This window comes from Homo sapiens, chromosome 11, assembly GCF_000001405.40.
Source record: "Homo sapiens chromosome 11, GRCh38.p14 Primary Assembly".
In the NCBI taxonomy this organism is placed as follows: domain Eukaryota; kingdom Metazoa; phylum Chordata; class Mammalia; order Primates; family Hominidae; genus Homo; species Homo sapiens.
The window spans coordinates 13,844,333-13,870,892 of NC_000011.10; the positions used below are offsets into that span (position 1 = coordinate 13,844,333).

The 26,560-nt window shown below is 42.2% G+C and overlaps 2 long non-coding RNA genes across 2 annotated transcripts in view; one reads left to right on the forward strand and one right to left on the reverse strand.

Annotated features, from left to right (window-relative positions):
* The window catches only part of LINC02548 (long intergenic non-protein coding RNA 2548), a 63,617-nt gene extending 59,947 nt beyond the window's left edge, over positions 1 to 3,670 (forward strand). Inside the window, exon 4 of the long non-coding RNA NR_149108.1 lies at positions 3,375 to 3,670. This is a non-coding gene — a long non-coding RNA (long intergenic non-protein coding RNA 2548). The remainder of the gene's footprint in view (positions 1 to 3,374) is intronic.
* LINC02545 (long intergenic non-protein coding RNA 2545) lies at positions 530 to 26,284 on the reverse strand. Its single transcript, NR_149109.1, has 4 exons — positions 26,216 to 26,284; positions 25,007 to 25,058; positions 24,305 to 24,344; positions 530 to 674 (listed from the first exon to the last, which is right to left on the reverse strand). It is a non-coding gene; the product is annotated as a long intergenic non-protein coding RNA 2545 (long non-coding RNA).
* Between the last annotated feature and the right edge of the window lie 276 nt (positions 26,285 to 26,560).

Consider the following 26,560-nt stretch of genomic DNA (forward strand, 5'->3'; position numbering starts at 1 on the left):
AAATTGATAGTATCAATGATTATGAGCAATGAAATCAGCCTAAAATATGTTTTTAGAGGTTTAAAAACCTCATCCAAGTGCTCTCCTTTCCAATCCTCCTGAGATTATTTACATTGACAACCTGCCACGTATCTTGCCACAATTTCCTTTATGCTCAAACACACACATATATTTAGGACATTTTTTAGCTGGTGTTAGTGTTTGTTTTCATAGAAATTGAATTGTACTATAATGGTAACTCTACTTTTCTCATATAAAAATATATCATGGGCAATAAAGATAGCTCTATTTCCATATCTTCACAGTTGTATAATAGTTTACAGTATGGAGCCATCACAATTGAGTCAAGAACATTTCTTCTTGCTGGACATTGAGGTTTTTCCCAGGTTTTTGGTTTTATAAACAATGATACCATACATATATCCTTACGTATAAGAGCTTTTATTTCTATTAGATTTCCCAGGGTGGGATTTCTGGCCAGTTTTTTGTAATGCCTACTAAAAAAGAACTTGGGTGAAAGAGTGAGATTTTTGTAAATCCATGCATATTTACTTTTGCCCTAAGTTTTCTGAGATGATCATTCTTTGTAGGATTGAAGATCAAAGTTTGAAGTTGACTTCTAGGCCCCATCCTGGTACATTCTGGATGAATTTTGGGGTTGGAAGATGGAGGACCTATACATTTTGAGGGAAATAAGAAGGATAATAGGAGTCAGTGAAGAAGTGGTCAGCACCAAAGGAGGAGAGCGTTTAAAGGAAAAGAGGTAGTCAACCTAGTTAACTGCTGCAGAGAGGCAAAGGAGCAGGAAAAGAAGCCTGTTCACAAAATTTCTGCATCCCTCTCCTGGGCACATGGTAAAACAGTACTTCTTCCATTGCTTTGATGTTAGGCCTGACCATGTGATTTGTCTTAGTGAATGAAACAGTGCAGAAGTGACATGTGTCTCTGTGAGGTAGAAGACTTTAAGAGCTGGTACTCAATTTTCTATGTCTCTTTGTCCTCATCACAGAGACTGGTGGCATTCTAGATATGGAGGCTCTATCAGCCAGAGTCCCCGAGTGATGATGACACAGGACAGCACTCCCTTAGCTCCCAGCCAATGCCAGATGGACACATGCAGAGTCCATGAGATATAAACCTTGCTGTTTTAAGCCACTAAGATTTTAGAGTTACTTGTTACTATAGCATAACTTAGCCCAGCCTGACTGATACAGTCATTTAGAAAAGAGATCCAACTGAGAGACACTGACGTCAGATCCCAAGGAATGAAGAGTAGCCAGGTCGTAGCTCAGGAGGTTAAAGAGTGGAAGTGTAGTGAGGAAGTGTAAGTAGCAAGCATCGAATTTCTTTCAAGTTTATTTAGGGGCTATGAGAACCCAGTTCTGCCAATTAGTTACATAAATGCTCTTGGGGAGAATCTAGGGATAATTCTAGAACACTTTTAAAATAAACTTAGAAAGATTAACTGCATAAATAATGGCAAAACCAGGACAGTCACAGCAGAATTCTTTATTATATAGACTAAGATTCCAGCAGCTTTTATGCATCTTAATGTGTACTAAAGATATAAGAGTATCACACAATGAATTCTTCTATGTCTACTACTAGGAAAAATATTCATTTCTCCTGATAAACTACATTTCCTTTTATTTATGAGAATTATGTCAGCATCCCTAGAAACCCTTGTTCCTTGCTCTCCTCTTTGTCTTGACTGCCAGGGCCTTCCGAGCTGTGTTCAAGTGAAAAATTGATCCTTTACCTGGATGGTTTGGTACAGTTCTTCCTCTGGGGATCAGCTTGTAAAGCAGGGATGCATTAGGCATGGGGTCTGTGTTGGAAGATCTGGACAACTTAGACGGCCCGGGTGGCTGAAAGCACCAAAGCTTCTCTTACTGTGGCCAAGACAATTTGGGATATTTTGTAGCTGGAAAAGACCCATCAAAAATGCTATGAGGGCCGGGCGCGGTGGCTCACGCCTGTAATCCCAGCACTTTGGGAGGCCGAGACGGGCAGATCACGAGGTCAGGAGATCGAGACCATCCTGGCTAACACGGTGAAACCCCGTCTCTACTAAAAATACAAAAATTAGCCGGGCATGGTGGCGCGCGCCTGTAGTCCCAGCTACACGGGAGGCTGAGGCAGGAGAATGGCGTGAACCCGGGAGGCGGAGCTTGCAGTGAGTCGAGATCGCGCCACTGCACTCCAGCCTGGGCGACAGAGCGAAACTCCGTCTCAAAAAAAAAAAAAAAAAAAAAAAAATGCTATGAGAGCAAAAGTATAGAGGGAGGGAGGGAGGGAATGTGTGTATAGGGGAATGTGTGTTTGTTTTTGCCTGTTTTACTGAGGATGACCCTAAAACCATATAACTAGTCATATAACTAGCAAAATCCAGCAACACCTTCAGAATCATTCAACAATAGTTGGACAGTCTCAATGTAGAAAATGATGTAGATAAGAGCCTGGTTCCCCTCAAGATAAGATCAGAACTGTTTATCACACATCAGTTTTTGAAACTGTGGGCCACACATTTTTAGTGGATTGTGAAATTGAATTATAGCATTTTGACCACAGTTTACAAAAATAAAATGGAATAGAAAACACCTTGAATGCATTCCATGTCATAAATGTAGGTTTGGTTTTTTCGTTTGTTTCTTTTGTTTTGGTTTTTAGAGATGGGGTCTTACTCTGTTGTCCAGGCTGGAGTACAGTGGCACAAACACAGCTCACTCTAGCCTCGACCTCCCAGGCTCAAGTGATTCTCCCACCTCAGCCTCCCAAAGACCTCGGACTGCAGGCACACACTGCCATGCCCAGCTAATTTTGAAAAAACTTTTATTGTAGAGACGGGATCTCCCTATGCTGCCCAGGCTGGTCTCGAAGTCCTGGGCTCAAGTGATCCTCCCACCTTGGCCTCCCAAAGTAATTTTTTTTTTTTAATGACACTTTTTTTTTCTCTGTGTGTGTGTGTGTGTGTGTGTGTGTCCTGGGTTGTGATCCAGAATGTGTTCTTATTGTGGGCTCTGGGGGGAAAAAAGAACACCATGAATCTAGAGCCAGTGGGGACTGTGAAGACAGGGATAGACCTGCACCCTGTAGAGACCAAAACCCAGTAAGACCACAAGATAGGCAAAAACTAGATATTGCCAAGGAAAGAGCGCTTTATGAAGCTAAAGCCAATGGTAGTGGGGTCACTGATTCTGAGTGAGGTGGAGCTGCCCGAGCATGCAGAAAATAGGGAACAGTTTAAACAAGTGCTCAGCCTTGGCATGGCTGAACATAGTTTGTTAGAGTCAATAAGTGTTTAAATTGGTATTCCATGTCAGTAGCAATTTGTATTAAAACTCTCTCCTTGATCTTGGATCAATTTCCTCCAGCTTGATAAACCAGAGGGATAGTCTGAGAGAGAAACTGAAGGTCAAAATCAACGCAGTGGTGCCGAACAGAAGGGCCCGAGGTGCGATGAGTATAATATGAACACGAAGGAAAACAGCGAGTTCAGAAGCCTGGAGAATCAGAAGCAGGTCAAGCGCTGGGGTTCAGGGCAAAGACCCTGAACACTGTGAAGGTGTTGGAGACCTGTTTTGAGGTGGCACTGCGGCTCAATGTGAGTGCAGACCTGAGAGATTAAAGTGCCTACGAAGGGCCAAATACCTGTCCCTTCATGACATGACTTTTGGCTCTGTGACTTTATTTTAGGGCAATTAATGTCTTTGAATCTTTCATTAAAAGCCACTTCAAATCCTTTTCCTAAACCAGTAGTATACAAGTGATAAGTACATGGAGATTGGTAAGACTGTAGCTCATTTTATTTCATATCATATCCTCTTGTTTATGCTACCCTTTGGTGAGTTTACAGGCTATAGGCATTTTTCCCCTATTAATAGAAGCTTTGGAGGGCATCCAACAGCAAAAGTGATCCTATACTTGGGATACACAGATACTTTAAACTGCAACAGTAGTTTCTCTTCCATCTTTATCTTCTATATCCTTTAAATTTTCTTTGCAGGCATAATTATCTGACCTCTGAAAACTGTTAGCTACAGAACCAGTTATGACAGTATAGATTTTTTTTCTCTCTATTTTCAACACCTTGGCTGTGCTTGGCATGCTGCAAATACCATATCGTCATCCAGACTAAAATTGTAATTCTGGGTGTGTACAATGTCACTGCGGTTAAATTGCTGATATAGAAGAATTCTGTTCAGGTTATTGTCAGTGATAGAGAGCAAAGCATGTGGTTGTTTGAACATTTATCTTTTTCCCTTTGTTTTCAGGAAGATTATAAGAATGAAAAGATCTTCATTAGGATAGTAGCATATTCTATTTAACCTAACACTGTTTAATAAATAGAAACACATTTAAGGGAAGATACAACATAGAAGAAGATTTCTTGTTTTTTTTTTTGATATAGATATTTTTTTTTAAGAGCAGTTTAGGTTCACAACAAAACTTAGCAGAAGAATGTTTCAAAAAAACATAAATCTTTACTAAAATTATCAAGCATTGTCATAATGGTAATTGCCCTTGGCTAGTACTTAACTACACTTTTGTTTTTATTTATTTATTTCTTTTTTTTTTTTTGAGACAGAGTCTGGTTCTGTCACCCAGGCTGGAGTGCAGTGGCGCAATCTTGGCTCACTGTAACCTCTGCCTCCCAGGTTCAAGCGATTCTCCTGCCTAAGCCTCCTGAGTAGCTGGGATTACAGGCATGTGCCACCATGCCCAGGTTTTTTATTTCATTATTTATTTATTACTATTTGCAGAGAAAACTGGTCTGTAAAGCTCTGCCCATTGACCCTTCAACAGTCTCTAATGATCTGACTCCCACTTCTAGCTCCAGTTTGCATCACGATCACTGGTCTTAGGCAGTCTTGGCTCTAATTCTAAAACTCCAGTGTTTCCCACTATACCACATTGCTAATTTCTTAAAGGACTTAGGCTTTCAATTGCCTTAAGAACCTATAGAAAATTGCCTTAAAACCTATAGAAAAAAATCAAAAGAAGATAAATTTTAAAACCCAGATTTAAAAAAATGATCTCAAGTGCTACTTTTCTTTTTTAGGAAACAATCAAATGTCTACTTTGATAAAAAAGATACAAAAATATTTAAGAAAAAAAGAACCTGTATGCCCCTCCAGCCATCCACGTCCCTGCCCCCTTTCCTCCCCAGAAAAGCAAACATAATTTCTCCTACAGGAAGGTTTGGTTTGTATTTGTGGGTAGCAGAAGTGAATTCTGAGGATAACATGGTTTACATGTGTGCTGGGATTTCCACTCACCCCTTCTTTGGCTGGCTTGAAAAATTAAACATGCGTGTCCTGTGTACAACCAGATGTGCATGACTCCTCATTGCTTTGAACAGTTCCAGATCCTTAGTAATTTGAGTTTATCTCAAAAATTACTGAACTGCACAGCAAGAAATTAAACTAAAAATTATGTTCATCCATCATCTTTTACGAGTCATGAAAAACTACATGGGGAATAAATCCTTGCAAGCAAGACAGTTTTGTTATAAGTGGTTCTTCTGCACTTCAAATGCATTAATATTCAAAACCATAACCTGTCGTGTGCTCAGCTTTGTGTGAGAAGGGGAGCAAATCAATCCCCTCCTTCTGTTTACTGTGTTGTTTAAGACTGTTCTTGTCTTTGCCTGGGATACAGGAGGTATTGTTGCTTTTCCCTTAAAGAAGTAGGTGCTCAGGAAGCCCAAAACAGAAAGAGGGAATCGATGTTTCTTATGAGCCTGCTGTGGACCATGCTGAATTCTCCCCGCATTCTGAGAAGTTTATTATTATTATTATTATTCCTACATTGCTGTGGAGAAAAATACAGCTCAGAGAGCCTATGAAACTCTGGCGAGCTGACACAGCTAGTAAGTATGAGCTGGGGTGAATCCCGCTCAGTCAAACTCCAAACACTTCTTGGATTCCTCCATGACATCCCTCACAAAGCAATAAAAGGAAGTAAGAAAATGCATGCCTCAAGCAACAAGAGCCCTTCAAGTGTCTGCAGAGAGGAGAATGGAGCATTCTGCCCATCTCCAGTTCTTAACAGCTCCTTCACTCTGCTCACAATTCACCCAGAAGTCACAGCGTGCTGTTCACTCTCTGTGTGTGATTGCTTTAGTTGTGAGTGGGAAGCTGCCATGAGTGACTCATGTCATGTGCCCCCACACAGCCCTCACGAGGGTATGGAATGCTCCCACCTCAATGTGTTCTGAAGCAATTCATTCCTGCCTGCATGGCATAGTTGTTCCCTAGACATCTGGCAGTAGGTCCCCCTTCCTAACCTCCAAATAATTATCAAAGTCAGAATCAATGTCTTTTAAGCAAAAACCCACTCTCTCTACTCTTTGCAGAAAGTCAAATTGCAGTCTCCTTGGCTGACAACTGATGTCATGAACTGTGGCCTTGTGAGCTCTTTCCTGCTCTCTGCTTGGACCCGTGGCACTGGTGGGTGCTTACAGGAAAAAACCAGAGAGCAGTTCCTCCTCCCAGCTGTCTTCCTCCCAGCTGTCATGGCTGTTTAAGCAGCAGCTTCAGTTGGTACTCACATCTTTCATGGCCGGGAAAAATCTTGAGCTTTTTCTGAAATCAAGATGTGCTTTTTGTAAACAACCAAAACTGAAACTGTTTTCCTGGCCCATCACAGAGGGGCTAGGATGTCGGGACACCTACTGCTCCAGCAGTCCCCACCTTGTGACACCCTGAAGACTGAAGAAAGTGTAGTACCATGAACAACATTCTTATCTCCATCCACAGCCCGACACCCACGGCTGGGCTTATCCTCCTCTATGGTCTCCCTCAAATCTCCTGTGTCCTCAGCCCCTTGTGTGTTCACTGTGCCCACCTTGCCAATCAGTTTTCTAGACACTGCCCATCGGCATTTAAGCCTTGCTGGAGAAAAAATTCACACAACCAGGCCAAATGGTGCCATAACTGTCATAGTGAAGCTTTAGCAGGGCTCTTGACATTGGTGGGCAGTGCTCTGAGTCATCTCCAAGCGATTTTCCATCACATCTACATCCCTCAGGGACTGGCCTGAAGCTCTTTCACTGCCCCTGGGATTACAACTCACTCCTATCCTCTCAACCTCCAATTCTTGCAGAAAACTTCTAGGGTAATGATTTTGAGCCCCTCAAAGATAAGAGCCACACTTTGTTCATATTTGTGGCAATAATGAGCTGGACAAATGATCGAAATGAATAAACAGAATAAAACTGTTTAACTTGAGTCCCCCCAAATTTAGTCCTCTTCCCCATTAATCTGAATCAAGGGGAAGGGAAAGAGACTCATTTAAATTAAGCACTAAACCATTTTTTAAGCCCTGTGATAAGCACTTTCTAATATATTATCTCATGTAATCCCCACCCAAGCCTGTGAGGTAGGTAATGTTATTTCCATTTTATGCATACAGAACAGTAATTGGTCCAGATTTGTCTAATTCCGAAGCTCGTGCACTTTTCCCTGCATTTGCTATCTGACTTCCCACCTGCTTTTCCATCTTTATCTCTTCTAATTCTCTAATAGCCAAGGGAGTTTATTAACAGTTGGCATTTGAGGAAGCAGAGCGTGAGCTGGCTTCTGCAGATAGTAAGAGGGAGAGGTCCCCCAAACTGTAATATTCACTGGTAATACTTGGCAAAGGAGGCAGAAGGGGGCTGAGAACGTGTATTAGTTTGAACATGATTGATTTTTATTGCAAGCAACAAATACCCAACTTAAAATAGAGGAAAAAGGGAGAATTGAATCATGTACCTAGAAAATCCTAGACACATTTGTTGAGTGTTTAGATATCACGCTCCAACAATGCATCAGCCTGGTGTCATTCTCTCTCTGGGCTTTGCTCTCTGCTGTGCTGGCTTTATCATAACATAGGGTGCCTCTACTTGGTGGCCAAGTGGCCACCGTTCTCTCTAGGCTCACACTGTCCTCCTGACATTTGCTACACTGTGGCCCCTTCTCCCACCCTCCAATCTCCTGTCTCTGAGCTCCTTCAGATTAAAGTCTGCACCTTCATCTGTATCCCCAGGGCCTGGCCTCCTTGGTGATCACTTACTAAATAGATGAATGAATACAACCTGCTGTTCCTCCTCCAATCTAAAGTGGTCAAGTTCACTGTGAGGGATGGGGGAGCAATCAGAACAGATCTGGGACAAAGTTTCCCTTTGTACATCTTCCTACTTAGTTTTTAATTCTAGCCCTGTTTGCCTTTGTTCTCCAGTGATTTTTTTAACAGATCTTTTCCTCCCTTAATCTCCAATCAAGACTTAGAGGGTCGGGGGAGGAGGAAAATAGGGAACGACTGCTAATGGGTACAGGGTTTCTAGTAGAGGGGAAGAAAATGTTCTAAAATTAGATTGTGGTAATGACTGCACGACTCTATGGACACACTAAAAAGCACTGGCTTTTACACTTTAAGTGGGTAAATTGTGTGGTATGCGAATTATATTTCAACGAAGTGGTTTACACAAAGATTTAAAGAAAAATATCCAAAAAAGGATATCCTTACAACACAGAATAAACAGAAAGCTCACTCTATATTGCTTTTCCCTATATTTACAGCTACTATACAATAATAACAGAATATCTACATAGTTTTCATATGTTGCTGTAACTATGATGAATAGAAAAAGCAGGGGTCTGGGTGCAGTGGCTCATGCCTGTTATCTCAACACTTTGAGAGGGTGTGGCTGGAGTATTACTTGAGGTCAAGAGTTTGAGATCAGCCTGGTCAACATAGAAAGACCCTGTCTCTACAAACAGAACAAAACAAAATTTAAATTAGCTTGGCATGGTGGCTAGGTCCTCAATCCCAGTTACTCGGGAGGTTGAGTGGGAGGATTGCTTGAGGTCAGGAGTTTGAGACCAGCCTGGGGAACATGGAAAGACTTCGTCTCTAAAAAATTTTTTTTTAATTAGCTGGGTGTGGTGGCATGCACCTACAATACCAGCTATTTGGGAAACTGAGGTGTGAGGATTGCTTGAGCCCAGGAGGTTGAGGCTGCAGTGAGCTATGATTGGACCACTGCACTCCAGCCTGAGTGACAGAGAAAGACCCTGTCTCTGAAAAAGAAAAAAAAAATAGCAAGGATGTATGTGTGTCTGTTTCTACATGGTAATATCTTCAGTGCCTAGAACAATGCCTGGCATCCAGTAGGTGTGGTAATTGCAGGAAATGGGTACAAATCCTTTGTAGTTCCTCCCATCAAAGGGTCAAATCTGTTTCTTCTCCCCTTGAATCTGAGCTTGGCCACATGACTTGATTTGGCCAAAGCAACATTAGCAAACATGATGCAAGTAAGGCTTTGAAAGCCCTGAGCACTGAAGCTTACCCTCATGTGCAGCTGGAAACCCTCCCATGACCATGTGAGGAATCCCAGGTTGGCCTACTGGAGGATGAGAGACCCAGTGGAGCACAGATGAGGCGTCCCAGTGAAGGTCCTCTAGAACAGTCACGCTGCCAACTGCTGGACGTGTGAATGAGCCCATGCTAGACCACACGGTCTCAGCCATGCCATCAGCTGACCACAGAGATTCCATCCCCCACGGTCCCCCAAAACCCTTAACAGACCAGAAGAATTGTCCAGCTGACTCACTGAATCATGAGCCAATACAATGTTGGTCGCCTCAAACCACTAATTTTGGGGTAGTTTGTTCCAGAGCAATGGATAACTGAAACAGTAGGCAGTCCATACATATAGAATGAGCAGACGCAAAGGTATCTGCAGATTGGCTGAGGAGGAAAGCATGCCCTGGAGGCTGGAAGTGTAAAGGATGATTCCAGCTGATGGCAGAACAAGAGGTAGAAGGAAGGCAGGAGAGAAACATGGGCAGCAAGCAGAGAAGCAAAACTCACTCTCCTCCCTGTTAGGGAATCTTTTCTCTTCTACAACATTTACCTGATTCTTTAAACACACTGTCCTCTTACCCCATTCCCATGGTACTTGGCCACACAAGCCAGCTGCAGACAGTAATGTTCCCCAGACCCCTCCTAGCTGCTTTGGCTCTCAAACTTCAGATTTTGACCCTTTGACCCTCAGAGTACATAATTATACTTTGCTCTTTGCTACTTCTGGTCCTTTTGGTTATGCAAACATCAGGGACTCTCTTCCTTAGCTTTTTGGCCTCAACAGTCTATTCTAAGCTTTGTTTGCTTCTTGGTTTCTGGATTCCCAGCAGTTTAAGCCTGCTTCTAGAGGAAATCCTCTGGCCAGGGGTAAAGACTTCAGTCATCTTGTTTGGAACCCATGAAGGCCTCCTGCCACCCTGGGCAGAATGTGATGGGGGAAGCTCTCCTACCCCTGCCACTGGAGATTGCAGAGCACTGGTGCAAACCATGGGGCTCTATGACAACTACTATAGACTGTATCGTCCCCAAAGTCACATGTTGAAATCCCAATTCCAAATGTAAGGGTATCTGGGGGTGCGATCTTTGGGAGGCAATTAGATGATGAGGGAAGAGCCCTCATGAATGAGATTAGTGCCCTTTTAAAGGAGGCCCCAAAGAGATTTCCTCTCTCTTCCACCATGTGATGTTACAGTGAAACGACAGTCATCTGTGAACCAAAAAACAGCCCTCACCAGACACCAAATCTGCCAGCACTTTGATCTTGGACTTCCCAGCATCCAATACTGTGAGAAATAAACTTCTGTTGTTTATAAGACACCCAATCTATGGCATTTTGTTATAGCAGCCCAAAGGAACTAAGACAACAATTCTCCCCACTCCATTGGAGAAAAGAGCATGCAGCTGTTGCCCTGTACGCCCTGGTGACATAAAGTAAGTGACCACTCCTGCCACTGCTTTTCCTGAGAGACCTGGAGAGGTGGGGTTAAGTGGTGGGACTGGAGAGAACACCAGACTGCCCTGGAACACAATGTGGTAAGGTGCCACAGGCATTTCTGGAGAAACATCAGGACTACCCATCTATGGGAAATGGACAGGAGCAAAACAGAGATGTCTGCCCCATATCTGCCCCCCTAACTTACCTGACTCTTTAAACACACTGCTGTCTTACAGCTGATCCACCATGTATCAAACTGCAGCTCACAAGTAAAGTCCACTTGTCCTAAGTAATTGTGCCAGACCACACTGAAGTATTTCAACCCTGTGTTCTCACATTCACTCTCCTGACCTGAGCATCCTGCCTCTGTGCTGTGGCTTCTGGCTGCTGCTTGATTTAGTTTAGATGAACAATTTGGACGCCTTCTTTGGCTTGTAGGACTCATCTTTCCACTCAGCATTTGAATCTGTTCTTTCTTAGAATCTTGATGTCCTCAGCAAATCTCATGTGGCCAGAGGGTGACCAACTCATCCTGATTTCCCCAGTTTTAAAACTGAAAGTCCTGAGTCTCAGGAGACCACCTCAGTCCTGTACAAACGAGATGGTTGGTCACTGTAGGTAGGAGTTCCCCAGAATGCCTAGATGGCCAAGTTAATCCCCTCTCCCCAACATGCAGCTAGGGAAGCCCCATCCATTGATGCAGCATCTCATCTATCAGATGAGGGATAAGAGATGTGTGCCACATAGAGTGGTTGTGAGAATTAAATGAGACAGAACATGCAAAGTGCTTACTGGCATGTCATTAAGTCACGAGTAAACATGTCTTATTGTCATCGTTGTTGTTGTTATTTTATTATTTCAAAACATCCTAGAAGAGGTGAATTCGTATAACACTGTACAAGAGTCTATGGTGTTGTAGATTCAGTGAAATCTAATGTTACACTAGATAAAATGAGTAAGATCAATAACTCTGGGCCCATTGAGATGCCTACTCTCTATAGCAATAACCAAACTAATATCATTTGACGTGAATTAGACACTGTTTATTTAACTTCAGGGTCTCTGGGGGCTCACACACAAGCAGGGCTCCAAAAGCCTCTACCCTGAGGTAGCGTGGGCAAACATCTCCCTTTCCTTTCTCCCACTCCCCACTAACTTCCCTGCCTTGCTCAGGTTGCCCTTGTCAGATTCAGATTCATTCACTATTTCTAAAAGCAGGTCCATCCCATATTTAAAATATTCCCAAGAGTGCTGGGAATAAGATATTCCCAGGAAAGGAGGTTGATGCCAGCTGGACCCTATTACATGAGATAAGCTATCTTTTGAATGTCAACTGATTCAGACTCTGTAAGAGTGGACCCCAGAAATCCACACTTCTAATGCATTCCCCAGGTGGCTCTTAGGCACACTAAGGTGCCAGAACCCCCACAGTAGACCTGGGCTCCTAGTAGAAGGTATTTGTGCCTTGTTCACTACAACATCACCATCCTCTAGGACGAGACCTGTACTCAGTAGGCACATCCTGAATGTGTATTTATTTATCAGTCCGTCCTTTTGTTTCTGATGCTAAAGATTTTGTGTGCCCAGAAAGTATTTCTCCAGAATGAGACAACAACACATGTTCTAGTCACTGAGGCATTTGTTTACACCAGTTTTTCACCCTGGTGGTAATGATTAGGACTGAAAACACTTAGAAAATAAACAAATTTCATGAGGAAAGGAGCAAATTAAGTCTGTGCCGGCAAGGGGCTTCGATTAGATGGAAACAACACTATAAAAACAATCGCCTGGTCTGCCAAGCAAGGTACACTCGCTCCTCTCAAATTAATGCCATCTGGTTACCCACTTCGAGACAAAGGCCCCTCCCCAGGAACGCCACGCACGGGAATGAGGACGAGTAATCTAATTCTCCACGACACTTCCATCTCCATTTTAATATGGAAAATCTCGATGAAATGGATTCTGCAAGAACAGATTTTCATTATTGAAAAGCCATGTCAGAATAAATTAGCATGAAGAAGAAGCAGGAAAATACTGGATTGGATTGTTCAGAACAATTAGATTATCCACCTATTGGCAAAGTTGTTTCATATGCATTAGTAGGCGTTAAAGACACTGAGTATTGTTCTTCCTACCAGTGAAAAGGTTGAATTATCTGCCTGAATTTCTGAATTGATAATTTGCATGCTTTCCCTGCTATTTCCAAGTCATTTGGTTATTTTGCATCTTGGGTCAGTAATGATAGCATTGTATTATATCAGGTCTCATAACTGAGCTTACACCTAGCAGGAATCTACCTGGAAAACATTGTCAGAGGAGAGGGAAGAGAAAAACAGATACAGACTGCCAAATTCGCAGGTTGTGGGGAAATACTTGAGCTGCCCTTTTTGTGGGTGAGCCAGGGAGATGGCCCCAGGGACCTGTGCTGCTGGGGTCCTTGGGAGATAGCTGGGGGTATGGAAGATGGCTCACAGCTGATGCCAATGTGGCTGGGGGCTTACAGACAAGCAGGGCTCCAAAAGCCTCCACCCTCAGGCAGCATGGGCAAACGTCTCCCTTCCTTTCTGCCTCCACCTCACTAACTTCTGTGCCTTCCTCAGGTTGACCCTGTCAGATGCAGATTCATCCGCTATTTCCAAAATGCCTGCTCTGTTTCAGGCTCTGCATTAGTCTCCTTTCTGATCATCCTCCACAGATAATCAGGTATTAGAAAACACACATACAAAGCAGGAAAAGCTGTCAAGCATCTCCTCTTTGCTCTGTGACCTTGTGTTTCTGTGCCTAGCTTCCTGGTAGATGGTGAGACCCTGGAGGGTATGGACTATGTCTGTTTATCCGGCAGTGATCACAGTGTTTGGCACTTGGCACACACATAATAAATGTCCAGTGAACAAATAATTACTCTGTGGCATTGGTCTGATCTCATTTTATAGAGGAGGAAATTGAAATACCATTTAAATGATGTGCCTTGGTTCACACAGCTAGTATGTGGGCCGCAGAGCCTCGCCCCACATTTGTTTGTTCTTGGCTGAACACTATGAATGGTGGGATTGAGGACTAAGTCTTCCTTCCCCTTCTATACTGTAAGTCTATGGATCCCATACCTCTCTATAGGGGACATCGCTCAGGGAAATACCTGACTTCTTCCTTTATCAAGGAAACTTCAATTTGGCCCCTTCCCTTCCTGATAAATGGCATTTCTTAAATGACAATCAGGGCTGGGTCTCATCTTTGCCCAGTAGCTCTTCTCTCCTGATGTTTTTTTTCTGGTCTAGAGGCCTTGCAGAGCCCTGGCTGAACATGGCTCACAGCACGTTGCCACCACTGGGCTACCACCGCCGGCACTGTGTTGCTCCTTCTGGTGGGCTCTGCAGCGCCAAACACCTAGGCCTCCAGCATCTACGGTGTGCTGCCCAGGCCTCTGTCCGGGCCCAAAAGGAACAGAGCTCCAAGGGTCTCTGCCACAGACTTCCTGCCTGCCCAAGACTGTGTTCAGGAAATCATGAATGATGTGTAAAGTTGGAAACAGGGGTTAGGTGGAACACAGTGCTAGAGAAGCTACTGGGACCACGTTGTCAAGAATCTTATGTAACGTGTTATTCATACGACCTCTGAAGGCAACTAGCTCATTGGCTATCACCTCCAAATTTCCTAATTCACTATATTAGGCCATTCTTGCATTGCTATAAAAGAATACCTGAGACTGGGTCATTTATAAATAAAAGAGGTTTAATTAGCTCACAGTTCTGCAGGCTGTACAGGAAGCATGGTGCCAGCATCTGCTCCGCTTCTGGGGAGGCCTCAGGGAGCTTTTACTCCTGATAGAAGGCCAAGTGGGAGCAGGCATGTAACATGGCCAGAGCAGAAGCAAGGAAGGGGGTGGGGATGCTACACACTTAACCAGATCTTGTGAGAACTCACTATCACAAGGACAGCACCAAGCCTCGAGGGATCTGCCCACGTGATCCAATCACTCCCACCAGGCCCCACCTCCAACACTGGGGATTACAATTCATCATGAGATTTGGCAGGGACACAGATCCAAACCATATCACTCACCCTCTGCAGGGTGAAGGTAAATGTTCTCTCAAATCTGGATCATGCTACATAATTACTAATCAATAGCAGAAACTTTTCTTCCCCAGAGCTTACACAAGGAACTGAAATTCTTCTCAACACAGTCTTTCAGGCAGCCACTACCAATGGGCTGGATTGGCACTTGAGATGAAATCTATTTGCCATCCTGATTCTAGGCATGCCCTCCATTTGGATAAGTGGAGGAAAAACTTGTCATCCAGGTAATCTCAATGGATTTTTCTTCCTCACTTCCCTCCCCTGCTCCAGGGATCTATAAACAAATAATGCTCCAAGGGATAGTCATAAGCTCCCTCTCCCATTCCTCAGTCTTACCCCAAAGAATGAACCTCCCCACTCGCTCCCTAGAGCAACAGCATCTGTGGCTTTTGCAGAGTCCCTATGCAATGGGTCAGAGACAGCTTTACTGCTAAAACTAATACACACAATAAATTATTAGTGAAACTCAGACTTTCACTAATCAGGGGTCTAGTTTTGCTCCCTCTGTCAATACCACATGGTGGTACCCATTTTCTAAAGTTGCATCAAGGCAGCATAACTCGATGGGCATTATGCAGCCATTAACCAGAAAAACCTGCCATTAGATGAAATCTGATTCGCCCAAAAGTTCTGTCTGGGCTCCCATGTAATTTCAGCTTTCTTTGTTAGGCCAGGCCTCTTGGCTTGGAGCTTCTCCCAGGGCGGCGCAGAGCCGAGCAGCCGAATGACTGATGGCTCTGAAAGGCAATGTGGGGGTCCCCATCGCTGCCCTCTCTCTAGGGCTCCAGGCTGCAGGACGAGGATTCTGTTACAACTCATAGAAAATGCAGACTGTTGTCACCCATGAGCAGAGACTGATGTGTGAGGAATTTTAAAGTGGAGTTTATTCAGCCCCAATTAAATCCCATTTTACAAATTCCATCGTACTCCTCAACAGAACACTCATTAATTTTTGTCACACTAAGCGGACTAGGTGGCACTGCTGGGCTGGGCTGGTTGGGCTCAGGCTCTCGAGGAAGACTGTCAGAGCAGAGTTCTGTGGTTTCTTAGAAATGGCAAAAGGATTTATGTGGTATAACTAAGTACCAGAAAGACAAGGTTATTTCTAAGCAGGTATCAGAAAATAAAATGATGGGCATGAAATGGGAAAAATAATCTTTGAAGAGAAGCATTTGAGCAACCCAGGGCTCACAAATCAAAAAAGAAAAGGTTTCTTTGTCTTTGCTTCTTTAAATAAGGCCAATTCTATCCAGTCAGGGATATCCAGTGAGCATTACGGGCTTTATAATGACTTGTGATTGAAGCAATTTTTAAAAGGCCATCACAGATAAAGCCTCCTGGGCTGTCTTTTAGCTATTGAATGGGTCACCAGAGGATTAGCCTATTATTCAATCAACAGAGGTCCAGAAACTGGTAATCATCAGAATTTTATAACGTTAAGATTTCCTCCCTCCATCCCCAGTCACCTTTTTATCCTCTTAGATACCTGGACAGTCCAAATTAGGGGACACAAAACCAAATTCTCTCTCTTTATTCCTAACTCGGAGTTGGCCTCAAGTCCACCCACTGCTGCCGCCTTGCTTTTCACCTGTTAAGTGTGACTATGCATCACCAAAATGGTCAGGGCCCTTTGCACCCCTATTAAGGTCTAGGGCTGCTTTCAATCCAAGAAGCCAGCTCCTTCTCTACTTCCTTGGGCCTTGCTTGACTTCCTCAGCTCTCCAGAGCCAAAGGGACCTCCCATGCACTAGGCATCCCCAGACCCAAGCCTGGCCATGGGCACTGCACCTTAAGGATGAGGGAGAGGATGAGTGGAATGGGAGTTGGGGAGAGACCATTATCATCTCCTCCTTGCACCTGAGGTTTGTCTATCTCAGATCTCTGGGGGTCACAGAGGAAGAACTCAGAGAATTAAAGATGAAGGTTGACCGTCTGCTCTCTCCCTCTCTCCCTTCTTTCCTTTTTCTATCCTTCCTTTTGGCTTACTGTAAAAAGTCTAATTAGGTAAGAGTAAAATAAATGAAAGAGCCAGGGCTTCCACTTCAGAAACAACCTTGCTTTGATGAGTCATTCAGTTCTCATAGATTCGCTATTGGCAAAAGGACACTTTAATTATGAAGAAAGGAAATATAGAAAACCTGCCTTTTCTGCAATGTTTCCTTTGGAACCAACGAAATCCTGTGTAGAGCTCTGGGAGAAGCAATGAGAACAGAGTGTAGCAAACTTTCATCCTTATGCAGATTTAAAAGACGAGGGGATGAAAGGTGCATCTATTAGAGGAAAGCTGAACACCTGTCTTCTTCACTTTTATTTTTTGTGCTCAAACAGGAAATCTGGGGCTCCATGTGGCAGATCTCCCCAGTGACCCTCCAGCGCAGGTGCTTCAAGACAGGAAGTCTAAGCAGGACTGAGCCAGCAAGACTGAGTCTGAGGGCAAGGCCTAGGATGGCTGGAAGCCAGGAGCTGGCCCAGGTTGAGGCAGGCAGGGACAATCATGCCAGGGCCAATGGCAGAAATAAATTATCCAAGGGAAGAATGGAAGTCAGGGAGCTGTCAGAAGGGGAAGGTAGGTGTTGGCCTTGGTAGACTTACAGAGCGAGGTTACACAGTGAAATGCCTGCAAAGATTTAGCTGGTAACTGAAATGAGGGTGGAGGGTTGGATGTAAAACAATAGGGAGTGAACTAGTTTACAGTCCCACTAACAGTGTAAAAGTGTTCCTATTTCTCCACATCCTCTCCAGCACCTGTTGTTTCCTGACTTTTTAATGATTGCCATTCTAACTGGTGTGAGATGGTATCTCATTGCGGTTTTGATTTGCATTTCTCTGATGGCCAGTGATGGTGAGCATTTTTTCATGTGTTTTTTGGCTGCATAAATGTCTTCTTTTGAGAAGTGTCTGTTCATATCCTTCGCCCACTTTTTGATGGGGACTGTTGTGGGGTTGGGGGAGGGGGGAGGGACAGCATTAGGAGATATACCTAATGCTAAATGACGAGTTAATGGGTGCAGCACACCAGCATGGCACATGTATACATATGTAACTAACCTACACATTGTGCACATGTACCCTAAAACTTAAAATAAAAACAAAAAAACAACAGGGAGTGGTGGGGACTGTGTCAAACTGGAAGTCAAGTGCCCCTGTCTAAAAGAGACCAACCGTCCTGGAATCCAGTAGATTGTGCCTATGAAGGAATGCAGGCCCAGGATTACATCTTCCCATTTTTTTCAAAAAAGCCTAAAATCTGGATTTCTATTTGAAACATTCCTGTTCTAAAATGATGAGGAAGTCAACAAAATACAGGTGGGGGTGCTGACATGACACAAGTCTGCATCATGACCTGTGTAAAATTTAAATAAGAGAGGAGAGAAGCAGGCACAAGGCTGAAGGAGAGCAGATGGGATTCCAGGAAGCGGTGAGGTTGGAAGGGACAGGAGCAACTCTATGGAAGGCAGACAGGGCATGACCACACCAAGTCTTTCTTTTCTTTTTTTTTTTAAGTTTGAGACAGGGTCTCACTTTGTTGCCCAGGCTGGAATGCAGTGGCGTGATCAGCTCACTGTAACCTCAAACTCCTGGGCTCAAGCCATCCTCTCACCTCAGCCTCTCAAGTAGCTGGGACTACAGGTGTGCACCACCACACCCAACTAAGTTTTTTATTTTTTTTTGAAGACGAGGTCTCACTATGTTGCCCAGGCTGGTCTCAAACTCCAGGCCTCAAGCAATCCTCCCACTTCAGCCTCCCAAAGCACTGACATTACAGGCATGAGCCACCATGCCCGGCCCACATCAAGTCTCTTAACACAACCTTGCTGCACTGTCACTGGGCTACACACCTTTAGCTTCCTCTCTACTTTATTCTTTGAAGACTGAACTTTGGAAAATTGCAGAGAAAGAAGTAGACTGATTCTGAAACTAGGATGTGGCTAGTGTCATGGAAACAGTGTGGATCTGCATGGATCAGTGAACATGACAGAGGTAGGAATGACAAAGAATGGGGATTTGGACTCAAACTGGAAAAATCCCATTTCCTAGATTCTGAGACACCTCCCATTACACAATACCACTAACTTAGAAATGGCTTTCAGGAAAAACAAACATGCGTTAAAGAACAGTTTTTGATTATTACTCATCTTTGTATAATTATATACTACTTTCTTTTCTTAGTAATTCAAGTCTTGAGCCTAAGCTTTTTCAGACAATGAATTCCAATGTTTTCTGAATGTTTTTGGTGAATAGCAACTATGCTTACCATCATATGATATACTGATTTTCACAAATAGTGCTTTTTGACTTCTTTATTACCTTTAGGATATTGGCAATGTAATTTATGAGTTGTATTAAATAAAACCCTTGTCTGCATTTCCTATTTGGCAACTGTAATTCCCCTCGCCACACCCCCCTACTCAATTACTAGAAATTAAACTGGTACTGTTGAATAGAGAGACATAAACCAGCTGCATGAAAAAGCATTTTTCTTTTAAATTTTTAAAAATCATTAAAAAAAAACTGTGTAGCCAAAGTATACAGTTTAAAATAAGCACCCTCATGGTATGAGAAGTTTCTGAAAAACCCTTTCCTGGGTGTGTATGTGGGATACCACCAAGAGATGCTTAACACATGCATTTTTCTTTATTCAACACAAAGCAGGGTATTAAAAATCTAATTTCTACAAGCCACTCTACTGTGCCCTTTATTCCAGAGCAGAAAGGAATTACAGTGCACCTGCTGTGTGCCAGGGATTTGGTGACATCTTCTAACCACGAATTTTATTTACTCTTTACAATGATTCTGAAAGCTATTATTATACGTATTCTGTAGTTGGGGAAATGGAGGGTCAAGAAGTTATGTAATTTGTTTGAAGTCACATAGAGTTCAAACATGGATTTCACTGATTCTGCAGTCCATGAGATCCAAAGAAGTCTCCAGCTGTGCTTATCTTCCTCTGCAATCAAATGAAGAATGGGCACCTGGGAACTCTCACCATTAGAACCACATCATTTACCACCTTTCTATATTCCTTGGCCCCATCTACTCTTAGCTGTTTTAGTCAGTTCATCTCGTCCAGTGCCCTGACACAGGAATCCAGTGCTTCTTCCCTACACTTTTTTTTTTTGGTATAAATTTAAAAGGTACAAGTGCAATTTCGTCACATTAATATATTGGGCAGTGGTGAAGTCTTGGCTTTTAGTGTGTCCATCACTCAAATAATGTACATCATACCCATTAAGTAATTTCTCATCGAGATTCTCCTGCCCCCAATCCCAACCCTGCCCAAGTCTCCTGGAGGCTATTATTTTAAACAACCTACACCCTTTTTTGGCCTCAGGTGCATAGTTTCTGTCCTTTAAAGCAGGGCTCCCCAGTCCCCAGGTGCAGACTGGTACTGGTCTATGGCCTATTAGGAATGGGGCCACACAGCTGGGGGTGAGCCTTGGGCTAGTGAGCATTACCGCCTGAGCTCTGTGTCCTGACAGATCAGCAGCAGCATTAGATTCTCAGAGTAGCTCGAACCCTATTGTGAACTGCACATATGAAGGATCTAGGTTGCATGCTCCTTGTGACAGTCTAATGTCCGATGATCTGAGGTGGAACAGTTTCATCCCCAAACCATCCACCCCCATCCCCCATGTCCATGGAAAAATTATCTTCCATGAAACTGGACCCTGGTGCCAAAAAGGTTGGGCACCGCTGCTTTAAAGCCCTTGAAACCTTTTCTGATTTTACCCTTCCCCCAGTCATTTGTTATTTCTTTCTTCTTTACAATCATATATATTATTGATCCTCTCTTATGAAGCTTATATTCTATCTTACATTATGTAATTGTCTTATTTTCTTTCCATAGCTTAGTGGGAGACTGTGAGACTAGCATTTAAGGTTTTGTACAGAGTACCAGCAGCATGATAGTTCTCCCCAGACAGCATAGCATTCAAGTCGCCTGAGCCTCATTCTTCCACAGAGGCTATGGCTTGTAAATCAGTATACTCAAAGTCCTCTGATACTCCAGTCAATAGACAGAAGATCTATGGGCCATTCAAAACATTGTTTTTAAAGAAATCTTTTGGTGTAACAAAAAATAATACAAGTCTCCTTTATTTATTTATTTCTTATTTATTTTCATGGATATGGATGTAGTGGATAGAATGGTTTTTCTTTCTTGAAATGTCTTTATCTGGTGTCGATGTTAGGTTAATGCTGGCCTCATGGAATGCTTCTATTTCCTGGAAAAGATTGAAGATAATTGGTACCATTTCTTCCTTGAATGTTTGGAAAAATCCACGGGTGAAACCCTCTGGTCCTGGATGCTACTCCTTTTGGAATGTTATTGGTTATTTATTTAATTATTTTATTTTATTTTTATTTTTATTTTTATTTTTTTTCATTTATTATTATATTTTAAGTTTTAGGGTACATGTGCACAACGTGCAGGTTAGTTACATATGTATACATGTGCCATGCTGGTGCGCTGCACCCACTAACTCATCATCTAGCATTAGGTATATCCCCCAATGCTATCCCTCCCCCCTCCCCCAACCCACAACAGTCCCCAGAGTGTGATGTTCCCCTTCCTGTGTCCATGTGTTCTCATTGTTCAGTTCCCACCTATGAGTGAGAATATGCGGTGTTTGGTTTTTTGTTCTTGTGATAGTTTACTGAGAATGATGATTTCCAATTTCATCCATGTCCCTACAAAGGACATGAACTCATCATTTTTTATGGCTGCGTAGTATTCCATGGTGTATATGTGCCACATTTTCTTAATCCAGTCTATCATTGTTGGACATTTGGGTTGGTTCCAAGTCTTTGCTATTGTGTATAATGCTGCAATAAACATATGTGTGCATGTGTCTTTATAGCAGCATGATTTATAGTCCTGTGGGTATATACCCAGTAATGGGATGGCTGGGTCAAATGGTATTTCTAGTTCTAGATCCCTGAGGAATCGCCACACTGACTTCCACAGTGGTTGAACTAGTTTACAGTCCCACCAACAGTGTAAAAGTGTTCCTATTTCTCCACAACCTCTCCAGCACCTGTTGTTTCCTGACTTTTTAATGATTGCCATTCTAACTGGTGTGAGATGGTATCTCACTGTGGTTTTGATTTGCATTTCTCTGATGGCCAGTGATGGTGAGCATTTTTTCATGTGTTTTTTGGCTGCATAAATGTCTTCTTTTGAGAAGTGTCTGTTCATATCCTTCGCCCACTTTTTGATGAGGTTGTTTGTTGTTTTCTTGTAAATTTGTTTGAGTTCATTGTAGATTCTGGATATTAGCCCTTTGTCAGATGAGTAGGTTGCAAAAATTTTCTCCCATTTTGTAGGTTGCCTGTTCACTCTGATGGTAGTTTCTTTTGCTGTGAAGAAGCTTTTGAGTTTAATTAGATCCCATTTGTCAATTTTGCCTTTTGTTGCCATTGCTTTTGGTGTTTTAGACATGAAGTCCTTGCCCATGCCTATGTCCTGAATGGTATTGCCTAGGTTTTCTTCTAGGGTTTTTATGGTTTTAGGTCTAACATGTAAGTCTTTAATCCATCTTGAATTAATTTTTGTATAAGGTGTAAGGAAGGGATCCAGTTTCAGCTTTCTACATATGGCTAGCCACTTTTCCCAGCACCATTTATTAAATAGGGAATCCTTTCCCCATTGCTTGTTTTTGTCAGGTTTGTCAAAGATCAGATAGTTGTAGATATGCTGCGTTATTTCTGAGGGCTCTGTTCTGTTCCATTGATCTATATCTCTGTTGTGGTACCAGTACCATGCTGTTTTGGTTACTGTAGCCTTGTAGTATAGTTTGAAGTCAGGTAGTGTGATGCCTCCAGCTTTGTTCTTTTGGCTTAGGATTGACTTGGCGATGCGGGCTCTTTTTTGGTTCCATATGAACTTTAAAGTAGTTTTTTCCAATTCTGTGAAGAAAGTCATTGGTAGCTTGATGGGGATGGCATTGAATCTGTAAATTACCTTGGGCAGTATGGCCATTTTCACGATATTGATTCTTCCTACCCATGAGCATGGAATGTTCTTCCATTTGTTTGTGTCCTCTTTTATTTCCTTGAGCAGTGGTTTGTAGTTCTCCTTGAAGAGGTCCTTCACATCCCTTGTAAGTTGGATTCCTAGGTATTTTATTCTCTTTGAAGCAATTGTGAATGGGAGTTCACTCATGATTTGGCTCTCTGTTTGTCTGTTGTTGGTGTATAAGGATGCTTGTGATTTTTGTACATTGATTTTGTATCCTGAGACTTTGCTGAAGTTGCTTATCAGCTTAAGGAGATTTTGGGCTGAGACGATGGGGTTTTCTAGATAAACAATCATGTCGTCTGCAAACAGGGACAATTTGACTTCCTCTTTTCCTAATTGAATACCCTTTATTTCCTTCTCCTGCCTGATTGCCCTGGCCAGAGCTTCCAACACTATGTTGAATAGGAGTGGTGAGAGAGGGCATCCTTGTCTTGCACCAGTTTTCAAAGGGAATGCTTCCAGTTTTTGCCCATTCAGTATGATATTGGCTGTGGGTTTGTCATAAATAGCTCTTATTATTTTGAGATACATCCCATCGATACCTAATTTATTGAGAGTTTTTAAAATAAATAAGAAATAAATAAATAAAGGTGAAAAAAACTACACACTAGTAACTCTTATGAACATAGTTGCGAAATTTCTCAACACACTATTAGCAAATGGAACCCAACAATTTACTTAACAATATTGCACAGCTAATTGAGCTTTATTCCAGGTATGAAAGTATGCATGGCAGGTCCAATATTAGTTAATCAATCAATGGAATTTGGCACATTAACAAACTGAAACAGAAATCATAAGATCATATCAATATATACAGGAAAAGCACTGACAAAATTTAGCACCCATTTATGATTAAAAAAACAAACAAAAATTTAAAAAAAGTCTCTCAGAAATCTAGGGCCAGGGGGACCTTGTTCAACTTGATAAAATACCCTATAGCTACCATCATACCTATGGTGAGCAACTGGATGTATTTCTCCTAATATCAGCAATAGTGCGATAATGTCTTCTCTTACTTCTCCTAGTCAATACTATGCTGGAGTATCTAGTTAGTGCATTAAGGTAAGAAAAGAAAAGAAAACTCAGTTTACATGCTTGATGTTCTTCTCAAACACCCATGAAATCAGTCTAATTATGAGAAAAACATCAGGCACATGCTAATGGAGTAATATTCTATAAAACATTTGAAGATTACTCAATACTATTGAGGTAATCAAAAACAATGCCAGAGAAAAGTATAGCCAAGAAAAGCCCAAGAAGACATGACTATTTCATGTAATGTGGTAACTTAGATGATATTCTGGAACAGAGAAAGGATACGAAGAAAAAACTAAGCAAAGCTAAATAAACTATAGCCTTTAGTTAAAAAAAATAAACAAGTCATATTTTATATATATGCTGTTACTTATATTTTATAATACCTGGCTGGTGCTTAGCCTTGCCTCTCTGAAAATCTTGGTTCTAGAAGTGCATAAAAGGAAAGAGAGGATCTTTTTTAAAATTTATTTTATCATTCTAAGTATTATTATTATTATTATTAAGAGACAGGGTCTCACTTTGTCACCCAGGCTGAAGTGCAGTGGTGTGATTATAGCTCACTGCAACCTCAGACTCCTGGGCTCAAGTGATCCTCCTGCCTCAACCTTCCAAAGCACTGGGATTACAGGAGTGAGCCAACACACCTAAGAGGATCTTTTCTACCTAAATTTATGCTAGTCAACAGTATAAGCAGTAACAAACTTTAAACCAAATAGAATGAAAAAAAACCACAAAAACTCCAGAGCTTAGGTAAGGAAATTCTTATCTAAGTGGGTTGGCTTAGCTAGCATGAATTCTGCCTAAAATCCCAACACTTCCCACATTTCCACCTCAAGTATTGCAGCCTGTGCCCTCAGGGTAACAGATCATCAAAGCTGTGTTTTTGCTCTTCACTTTCTCTTCTCTGTGTGTATTGACTCATCTTTTACCACTTCCACAACCCCACTACTCAGCCCTGATGCTCTAATATATCAAAGCCAAGTTTATAATCAAAGAATCATACAACTACCATTGACATCATGACCCACGTTAGTATCTGTTTTTCAGGAAGTGTTGAGATCAAAGAAGTAGATATGTTTGGTCACCTCCCAGCTCAGAAAAATCTCCAAATTCACGGAAGCCCTGCAGTAAAAAAGCCTGTTTAAGTTAATTTAATGCCTACATGACCAGATTTATTTTGACAGAATACACCCTCTTCCACACCCACCCAGCATTTGTTGTTTTTTTTCTAGTTAAGGGACACTAGCCTTCTTTGGAACACAATTTGGAAAATGTGAACGTCCCCTGTCTGGTACATGGCTCTATCTCTTCTACATTCTTGGTTTTCTAAGAAAAGCTGCCCAGGATCTCTTACCCTACTGTACTCCCCTAAATTTTCTATTTTAGGAAATACAGTGTTATAACAAAAACAGTCAGAATATGGACTGTGATGATCTTTGCCAAATACAGAGTCATCTCATTAAACCTCAGAGGTAGTGCCTCAGTAGGGCCTGAGAATGTGGCACTATAAAATTTTCACTTAACATTAAAACACCCAAAAAATATCTGGGGTAAGAGCAGATGTCTTTTTGTTTTGTGCAATAGCTTATATGGAAACCTACTTATAGGTGGGCCATTGTTTGCAATATTTTATTTAAATAAATTTGTTGTTTGGGACACTACCTTTTAATATACTCTCTTTCATAAACTAAGTTTGGTCTTCTGGAAATGCTGTATAATATTGAGAATAATTTACATCCAGGAAAAATGTCTTGTTTGAAGAACCTCGAGTGACTTCTCATTTCAAAATATATCAAGTTGTTTATTCTTAAAGGCTCAAAGGAATCTGACCATGTGTATTAGTCCATTTTCATACTGCTATGAAGAAATACCCAGGACTAGGCAATTTATAAAGAAAAAGGGGTTTAATGGACTCACAGTTCCATATGGCTGGAGAGGCCTCACAATCATGGCAGAAGGTGAATGAGGAACAAAGTGACATCTTACATGGTGGCAGGCAAGAGAGCATGTACAGAGGAACTGCCCTTTATAAAACCATCAGATCTTGTGAGACTTATTCACTATCATGGTAACAGCAGGGAAAAACTTGCCCCCATGATTCAATTACCTCCCACAAGGTCCCTCCTGCAACATTTGGTGATTATGGGAGCTACCGTTCAAGATGAAATTTGGGTGGGGACACAGCCAAACCATATCACCCTGGCTCTATTCAGAGCCTACAGAGGAGGTCCAAACTTTAAATATTCATTTATGCAGTCTGTTATTTAGTTGGTAAATACTTATGGGACACCTACTTTGTGCCAGACTCTGTTCCAGATGTTGGAGATAACATGGCAAACAAAGAAAGAAAAAGGCCCATGACCTCTTGGATCTTACACTCTGCTGGAAAGAAACAGGGCTTACATAAGTGAGAGCATGTCAGAGCATAATAAATGCTATGAAGGAAAGAAAGTGGGGTAAAGGGAAAGAGGGTGACTTACGGAGGCACGAGAAGAAGGGCCTCTCTGGAGAGGTGACATTTGAATGAATTGAAGGAGCCAGCCATGGGAGAGAAAAAGATCACAGACAGAAGGAGAAGCTAATGACAAAGCCCTGAGGTGGGAGCAAGCTCGGGATTTTCCAGGTTTAGAAAGAATGCT